A 9,498-nucleotide genomic window follows, 5' to 3' on the forward strand; every position below is an offset into this window, starting at 1 on the left:
ACCATGTGAGGTGATGGATGTATTAATTAACTTGACTGTGGTAATCATTTCACAATGTATTTGCATATCAAATCATCATGTTGCATACCTTAAATATACATAATTTTTATTTGTCAGTTATACCTCAATAAAGCTGTAAAAAAAATTTAAGGAATAGATGAGATTTCTTTTTTCATAAAAAAGGAAAAGCTCTGGGTGTGGCAGCTCCTGCCTATAATCCCAGCACTTCGGGAGACTGAGGCAGGAGGAAAGCTTGAGGCCAGAAGTTTGAGACCAGCATGGGCAACAGAGCAAGACCTCATCTCTACAAAAAAACAAAATTATCCAGGTATTAGTCCCAGCTACTCGGGAAGCTGAGTCAGGAGGACTGCTTGAGCCCAGGAGTTCAAGGCTGCAGTGATTCATGATCATGCTACTGCACTCCAGCCTGGGTGAGACAGCGAGACTCCATCTCTAAAACAAAAATAAATAAATAAAAAGGAAAATTATCCAAAATAGCTAGCACATAGTAGGTCCAGTTTCCTCTCATGTATATACAACTTTACCCACACCTTTTCTGCTTGAGTTTGATTAGGTATACTAAGAGACAAACACAGAAGTCAGCCAAAGATGTTTTAATAAAGCCCAGGAATCTACTGACATCAGACTTAAGGCAAGTTTATCTTCATTTTTGTGGCCTCAGACTTTAAAGCACTAATTCTTTATATGCTGTGGTAAATGTGGCTGGTCCTTGGGCTTCAAACAGCACAGTTTACCACTCACGCAGAAAACATAGACCCTTTCATTCTTCAGGCATTCGTCACGGCAGGAGCCACGAAAATTCCAACATGTTTCAATCCTGCCTATTACAAAAAGAAAAAAGAAAGGAGCTGATATCAGTTATGAGGGGAAATGAGTCCTGGACTGAGAAGACTAACAGAGGACCAGACAGAAGAAGGGGGCTGTAGAAGAAGGAGGCATTCCCTCTAGGTAACTAGGGTGGTGGTATTGTCTATCACCATATTGAAACTCAGGAAATATCCAGTGAAACCCATGAGCCCTTTCTAAAGAATCTACTAGAAAAAGAGCTGTAGACAAGCAAATGAGAGGAGCATTGACACAGAACTAAATATTAAATATAAAGATACTTGTAGAACCAAAATGAGGATTTTAAAAGAGGTAGTAAAGTACATAATGGCTATATGTTCTGACAATATAAATAGAGTACAACATAAAAATGAGAGAATAATGGTGAGAACATATGCAGACATCTTAACTAGTTTGAGTAATCATGACATTATGGTAGCATTGATATTATTTTACTAAGACTATTGTATATGTAATGAGAGATCAATCAAATGAGTAAGTCATGGGATATTCTATCGTCCCCTGTGACCTTGACAACCAGAATTCTCAGTATAGAAAAGAAAATACTGATGTAATATAAAAGTTGATTCTGAATTTGAGTTCTGAATTTGAATTGAAAATGCCAATATGAACTCACAAGTATTTTATATTTAAATAGATAAAATAAATAGATGATTGATGGATGGATAGATAGATTGAAATTTTTCCAGCTCTGGTCACTGAGAAAGTCTAGAAACAATAACTAACTAGTAGAAATTAGTATTCCTAGTACCCATGCTATAATCTTAAAATACTATCTCCCAGTAAACTTTTTTTAAAAAACAGGACTTCTTGGAGATATGGTGGATTCCAGTTCTTGGGCAGTAAATTACAAGATGATCTTGAAACATTCTGTCGTACCAGATACTAAGAAAGCACCAAAGATTAATAGGGATATATCTAAAAGACATACGAGCCAAATTAAAGAGACTCCTATTGGCCAAGAATAAGACAATGTATACTTCAATAGCGAAAATAATTGCAATAGATTGAACTCATTGCTTAGAATCATCAGTTCAAAATAAATAATATTTAAGAAAAACTAATGGCTTAACCTCAGAGGCTGATAGAAAACTAATTCATTATCTCTCAAACCAATTAAGCAAAGATAAACTCAAGCATTTATCCTGTCTTCCTCTCTGAACTCTCTAAACCCCAAGGTAACCAAACAGATGAGGGAAAATGCCTCTTTGATAAGGAGTTCAGCTAATAAATGAAGGTTCTTCCCAACATATCTGTACGGCTCACCCCTCACTTCCTTCAAGTCTTCATTTGAATGTCACCTTCTCAGTGAGGCATTCCCTTGACACCCCTTTTTAAGTTGCAAATTCACGTACCCTGATACTTGCTATCCCCTGCTTACCCTGCTCATTTCCTCCCCTAATAGAATCATAAGCTCCAAGAGGATGGAGATTTTGTTTGGTTGGTTGGTTAGTTGGTTGATTCATTGCTCTATCTCCAGCACCTGTGCCTGGCACACGGAATCCACTCAACAATATTTACTGATTGAACGAGTTATTTAAGCAATGACATGTCCACTATCCCCTAAATCCAGCTGCCATCCTGAGAAGAAGAAGGGGGTGAGGTGAAAGTAGAAATGCTGAAAGACTGAACATTTTAAAGCAAAATGAGCTAATCTGAGAGGTTCTTTTAAATCAAAAAAGATGAATACAATTGTCTTCTGAAGTTGTGTACATCCCTGTGCCCTTTCTAACTCCCACTTTTCCTACCAGCAGGATGGGAGTTCCTGGAAACATTCAAATGAATTACAGAAAATTTAAAAAGCTATATTTGTTGTACATCAAAATGTCAGTGTCCTCAATGTTGATCCTTCAACCTAATTTATTATTTTAAATTGAGAAAAGAATAAACTGAAACTCACAGGCACCAAGTAGTTTGCTGGGGGCATCACAGAACTTGCAAATGGTGAGGCAGGTTCTAAACCAGGATCTGGGGACTCTTTCCTCTTCCTCCAGACAATTAATATTTCACACTGCTCCCTGTCAGCCCATCCTCCCAGGCCCTGGTGTGCCCTGACCAAGACTCACTGTCTACTCCCAGTCCCTCCCCTAGAGAGGTCTAGGTTATCTGGAATGACTTGGAGGAAGAGCAGCAGCACAGCCAAAGTTACCAAAAAAGTCTTCATGACTTCAAGTAGCCCACAGAGTAGTCTCGGCTCTGGTGAAGTGGCAGGAAATGGAGGCGAGCTCAGGACTCTCTGCTGCCTCTAATCAGCTGGGAAGTGTGTCACTCACACGTGCCACTATCTGCCCATGGGTACAGTTTGCTCTGGGACAACCTGCCTTTTTTTTTCATGCTCAGTCACCATCCCAACACCCCTGCACCCAGAGTGTGGACCCCACACCCCTGAGCTCGCACGCCTCCCTTTGTCCACCATCATCTTTTAGGGACCAGCAAAAATAAATCATACAACACCCAGAAGGATACTTTTAAAAATGTATGTCAGCCCTTGTTATAATACAGCTTAAAAATCCTCCAAGACTCCACAACTAGAAAAAAAAAATCCACAATCTTTACTATGCCCTGCAAAGCCCTATATTCTCTGGTTTAGAAATCCACCATTATCATGGTTCTAATGTAAATGAAGCAAGCTCCTTTTTTCAAATGCAATTCCCAGTTTGAGAGCAGAGGAGTAAAGAAGAAAGGACGATCATTCATATTTTAGGGAGAATGTGTCTATTGGATTATTTCCTAAGAAAGAAAGCCCGAGTACCTAAAATCCTCAGTTTCAGGAAGCATTTTGGCATGGAGGGTGAGAAAAGACAAGCTGAAATATTCAGCTTGTTGTCCTGGCTGTGCCAGTTAGTGGCTGTGTGACCTTGGGAGAGTCACTTCCCTTCTCTGGGCTTTAATCTCACCAATGAGCAGATTGGAGCAGATGGGCTGTAGGGATTAACTCAATCCTCATATACTATGATTCTTTGGGTGTGAAAAGGCATGGAAAATGGAATGCCTGGAACTCTAGGTTTTCAGCCCCAGCCTAGGCAACACTCATTGGGTTTACACCTTAGGATTCTCAGGGCTGCCCTTATCAGACTCCAATTCTCTTTACACACTGGGGTCAGAGGCCTCTTCCCCTGATACCTACACCTGATATGCTATATGGTCCCTGCAAAACACAGTCCCTCTTTGGGCCTGCTTCTTGTATAGTCAAAGCACAAAACTTTACTCTGATTATTATAAAAGCTTAATATTCTCCCTAGAGCCCTTGAAGGGGTCTCATCACAGCAGGCTGTTTTGGACATGAGATCCATTAGCTACTGATGAAAGAGCAGGGAAGACCTTGTTCTGTCTGTGTACCTCTGGGCACATGTCAGACATCACAACCTGTTCATGGTGGACCAAAACTCCTTAGGGCCAAATCTCATCAGGAATTAAAAACAACAACAACGAATTAAAGTGACATCAAGCTATATTTTTCACCTATCAAATTGACAAGAAGCTCTTTTTTTATAATGATAATCCCAGAGTTTCATAGGATCAAGGACCTAGTTTCTCAACAAATGGCTATCCTTGTCTTTTCACTTTTGCCCAGAATGCAATGTCCAGAACAAATGGTAGGGGTCTTCTGTGGTATCCTGAACAGGAAGCCTCAGGATACCATAAGAGGAGTCTCAGGAGCTATCTCCCATGTTTGTGGCAAAGGCCAGCCTACCTATCAGTGAGTCCTTTGGGTTTATTGTCATCTTAGGTGCTACAGGGGTTGTCACACCTTCCCCCAGTTCATGTTTGGCCACTGGCAGATTCTACCTTTGACAACACCAGCACCTTCAACTAGGATGTGGTGGAGACCCAGATAAAGGTACTCCAGTCTGGATATGCTTCTGGACAAAGTGTAGATGGTCCCTCAGTACCATTCCCATCGGTAGCCCAGAATCTCTCCTTCCAGTTGGTTTCATAGAATCTTGATGCTGTCCAGACCACAGGGATATTCAGCCTTAGGGGTTTCTGTGTTGTCCAGAGCATGATAGGGGCCTGCTTTGTAGCATCACTCAACATTAACTCTTAATGTATCTTTTTTCAATATTTATTCAAGATTTTAAAGATGCAACACAAATGCCTTCTTTCCAGTGACTTAATTGGCTGTAGTTGTAGATGGGGTTAGATGGGATGGGACACTCAATACATTTTGTTTCTTTTTCATTGCTCAGAGGTAAACTCAGTGTCCAAAAAGAGGCAAGAGAATGCATTAAGAATTTCCTTGCCTAAATAGCCTATGGTGGATTTTTCTTTCCTCAGAAATGGGGAAAGAACAAGGGTATAGTTGTTTCTATTTGAACAGAAACAACAACACTCTTGTTCATTGCATCATGAACATCTAAAGATATACTAATGCCTTTGTCATAATAAATTGGTTATCATGAAGTGTTAGTTTCCTAGCACTGCCATAATAAAAGTACACTTGTTTTTGTCACCTTGAAAAGATTTGTTCACTTATATTGACTTCAATTTTTTAAACTGTAAATTGCATTTTATTAGTAGAGCTTGAAAGGTTCAAAAACGCTCTCCCCTCTCCCCTCTCCCCTCTCCCCTCTCCCTTTTCTCCTCTCCCCTCTCCCTCTCGGTCTCCCTCTCCCTCTCTTTCCACTGTCTCCCTCTGATGCCGAGCCGAAGCTGGACTGTACTGCTGCCATCTCGGCTCACTGCAACCTCCCTGCCTGATTCTCCTGCCTCAGCCTGCCGAGTGCCTGCGATTGCAGGCGCGCGCCACCACGCCTGACTGGTTTTCGTACTTTTTTGGTGGAGACGGGGTTTCGCTGTGTTGGCCGGGCTGGTCTCCAGCTCCTAACCGCGAGTGATCCGCCAGCCTCGGCCTCCCGAGGTGCCGGGATTGCAGACGGAGTCTGGTTCACTCAGTGCTCAATGGTGCCCAGGCTGGAGTGCAGTGGCGTGATCTCAGCTCGCTACAACCTCCATCTCCCAGCCGCCTGCCTTGGCCTCCCAAAGTGCCGAGATTGCAGCCTCTGCCCGGCCGCCACCCCGTCTGGGAAGTGAGGAGCGCCTCTGCCTGGCCGCCCATCGTCTGGGACGTGAGGAGCCCCTCTGCCTGGCTGCCCAGTCTGGAAAGTGAGGAGCGTCTCTGCCCCGCCGCCATCCCGTCTAGGAAGTGAGGAGCGCCTCTTCCCGGCAGCCATCCCATCTGGGAAGTGAGGAGCGTCTCTGCCCGGCCGCCCATCGTCTGAGATGTGGGGAGCGCCTCTGCCCCGCCGCCCCATCTGGGATGTGAGGAGCGCCTCTGCCAGGCCGCGACCCCGTCTGGGAGGTGAGGAGCGTCTCTGCCCAGCCGCCCCGTCTGAGAAGTGAGGAGACCCTCCGCCCAGCATCCGCCCCATCTGAGAAGTGAGGAGCCCCTCCGCCCGGCAGCTGCCCCGTCTGAGAAGTGAGGAGCCCCTCTGCCCGGCAGCCGCCCCGTCCGGGAGGGAGGTGGGGGGGTCAGCCCCCCGCCTGGCGAGCCGCCCCGTCCGGGAGGTGAGGGGCGCCTCTGCCCAGCCGCCCCTACTGGGAAGTGAGGAGCCCCTCTGCCTGGCCAGCCACCCCATCCGGGAGGGAGGTGGGGGAATCAGCCCCCCACCCGGCCAGCCGCCCCGTCCGGGAGGGAGGTGGGGGGGTCAGCCCCACGTCCGGGAGGGAGGTGGGGGGGGGGGTCAGCCGCCCTGTCCGGGAGGGAGGTGGGGGGGTCAGCCCCCCGCCTGGCCAGCCGCCCTGTCCGGGAGGGAGGTGGGGGGGTCAGCCCCACGTCCGGGAGGGAGGTGGGGGGGGGTCAGCCCCCCGCCCGGCCAGCCGCCCCATCCGGGAGGGAGGTGGGGTCAGCCCCCCGCCCGGCCAGCCGCCCCGTCCGGGAAGTGAGGGGCGCCTCTGCCCAGCCGCCCCTACTGGGAAGTGAGGAGCCCCTCTGCCGGGCCAGCCACCCCGTCCGGGAGGGAGGTGGGGGGCTCAGCCCCCCGCCCGGCCAGCCGCCCCGTCCGGGAGGTGAGGGGCGTCTCTGCCCGGCCGCCCCTACTAGGAAGTGAGGCGCCCCGCTGCCCGGCCAGCCGCTCCGTCAGGGAGGGAGGTGGGGGGGTCAGCCCCCTGCCCGGCCAGCCGCCCCGTCCCGGAGGTGAGGGGCGCCTCTGCCCAGCCGCCCCTACTGGGAAATGAGGAGCCCCTCTGCCCGGCCACCACCCCGTCTGGGAGGTGTACCCAACAGCTCATTGAGAACCGGCCGGGATGACAATGGCGGTTTTGTGGAATAGAAAGGGGGGAAAGGTGGGGAAAAGATTGAGAAATCGGATGGTTGCCGTGTCTGTGTAGAAAGAAATAGACATGGGAGACTTTTCATTTTGTTCTGTACTAAGATAAATTCTGCTGCCTTGGGATCCTGTTGATCGGTGACCTTACCCCCAACCCTGTGCTCTCTGAAACATGTGCTGTGTCCACTCAGGGTTAAATGGATTAAGGGCGGTGCAAGATGTGCTTTGTTAAACAGATGCTTGAAGGCAGCATGCTCGTTAAGAATCATCACCACTCCCTAATCTCAAGTACCCAGGGACACAAACACTGCGGAAGGCCGCAGGGTCCTCTGCCTAGGAAAACCAGAGACCTTTGTTCACTTGTTTATCTGCCGACCTTCCCTCCACTATTGTCCTATGACCCTGCCAAATCCCCCTCTGCGAGAAACACCCAAGAATGATCAATAAAAAAAATAAAAATTAAAAAAAAAGAAAGGTTCAAAAACATTTACAAAGGGCATAAAAGTGGTGGGTTTCAAAAAATATTAATATCTAATCATATATTTCATTATGTTAAAAATTCTTACTTACCTTTTTCTTTCCCAGAGAGAGTTTAGGAATTTTCTCAGGTGTGTTTTCTGTAGGTGATTTCAAACAGAATTCCAAGGCTCAGCTTTTAGAATGCTACAGAGGAAAATAATAGGGAAAATCTCCTTTGATTTTGGCTGTAGAAAATGAATACATTTCCACGAGGAAATATTGTAGATAATTGGTGAGTTACATAAATTTATAAAACATTAGTTCCTCTTTCTGCAGGGTAAATTCCTGAGAGTGAATATCTCTGGTCTGTATCCTGTTATCTTGATTTCTGAGTTTCATACTAAATTTCATGAGATGAAACTTGGTACCTCCTACAAGTTTTTCCCTATGACTAATTGTTTACTACATTATTTTTAATAGAAATAATACAATAATAAATTTATTATCTGAAAGAAAATAAATAAATAAAGTACACTTGCCATAACAAACTGAGTGGCTTAAAGTAATAAAAATTATTTTCTCTCACAGTTCTGGAGGTCAGAAGTCCAAAATCAAAGTGTTGGCAGTGTTGCTTCCTCTTTAGGGCACAGAGGGAAAATCTGTTCCATGCTTCTCTCCTAGTCCATGGTGATTGCTAAATGATCATTGGCTTGTAGTGGCGTAACTCCAATCTCTGCCTCTGTGGTCATACAGCATTCTCCCTGTGTGTCTCTGTCCAAATTTCTCTTTTTTTTTTTTTCTTTTTTTTTTTTTTGAGACAGGGTCTCACTGTGTTGCCCAGGCTGTAGTGCAGTGGTGAGATGTCAGCTCACTGCAACCTCCACCTCCCGAGTTCAAACAATTCTCCTGTCTCAGCCTCCCAAGTAGCTGGGATTACAGGCACCTACCACCACACCCAGCTAATTTTTGTATTTTTAGTAGAGATAGGGTTTCACGCTGTTGGCCAGGCTGGTCTCAGACTCCTGACCTCAAATGATCCACCAGCCTCGGCCTCCCAAAGTGCAGGGATTACAGGCATGAGCCACTGCGCCCAGCTGAAATTTCTTTTTTCTTATAAGGACACCAGCCACTGGATTAGAGCTCACCCTTATCCAACATGACTTCATCTTAACTTCATTACATCTGCAAATATCCTATTTCCAGATAAGTCACATTCACAGGCACTTGGTGTTAGGACTAGAACATATATTTTGGGAAAGACACAATTCAACCCACGACAAATTTTTTTTAAATTCTTATTATGAGTGAAACTGAACATCTTTTCATATGTTTAACGCCCTTTTTTACCTTTTTTTGTGGACTGTCTATTCGTATTTTTGTCTATATTCAAATAATTTTTAGTAATATCTTCCTCCTCTTTGTATTTTTTTGTTCCCTGTTTCTAGAATTCTTATTTTCCAGATATTGGGCTCTCTGCACTGATTCTCTAATTTTATGTATTTTCTCTCCTGATTTCCATCCATTTGGCTTTTTTCCTCTAGTTTCTCAAAAATTTTAATCAAATTTGTCTTCCAGCTTTTCTATTAATCTTTCTTTTCCATTTTCTGCTATTATATTTTTTATTTCTAAGAGTTCTTATTTATTCCCTAACTTTTCCTTTTTGTAGTATCCTATTCTTGTTTCATGGTTGTAGTAGCATCTCTAATTTCTCGCGAGGCTTTTAATAATGTTTTCCTGTCTGCATAATCTATTTCCTATAACTTGTTTGTTGGTTGGTTGGATGGTTGATCTGTTTTACATTAGATGTTTGCCTCTCATCAATGATCATATGACTAATGATTCTTAATTATGTACTTATATATAAAAGTGTTTCACTGCAAAGCTTATTAGAAACTCAATGAAT

The 9,498-nt window shown here is 44.9% G+C and overlaps 1 pseudogene across 1 annotated transcript; it reads right to left on the reverse strand.

The window, feature by feature from the left end:
* Window positions 1-602: 602 nt before the first annotated feature.
* DEFB122 (defensin beta 122 (pseudogene)) lies at window positions 603-8,344 on the reverse strand (annotated as a pseudogene). The gene is made up of 3 exons (NR_045677.1): window positions 8,182-8,344; window positions 7,707-7,799; window positions 603-842 (listed from the first exon to the last, which is right to left on the reverse strand). The product of NR_045677.1 is annotated as a defensin beta 122 (pseudogene) (transcript).
* Between the last annotated feature and the right edge of the window lie 1,154 nt (window positions 8,345-9,498).

The sequence above is a fragment of the Homo sapiens genome, chromosome 20 (assembly GCF_000001405.40).
Source record: "Homo sapiens chromosome 20, GRCh38.p14 Primary Assembly".
Taxonomy (NCBI): Eukaryota; Metazoa; Chordata; class Mammalia; order Primates; family Hominidae; genus Homo; species Homo sapiens.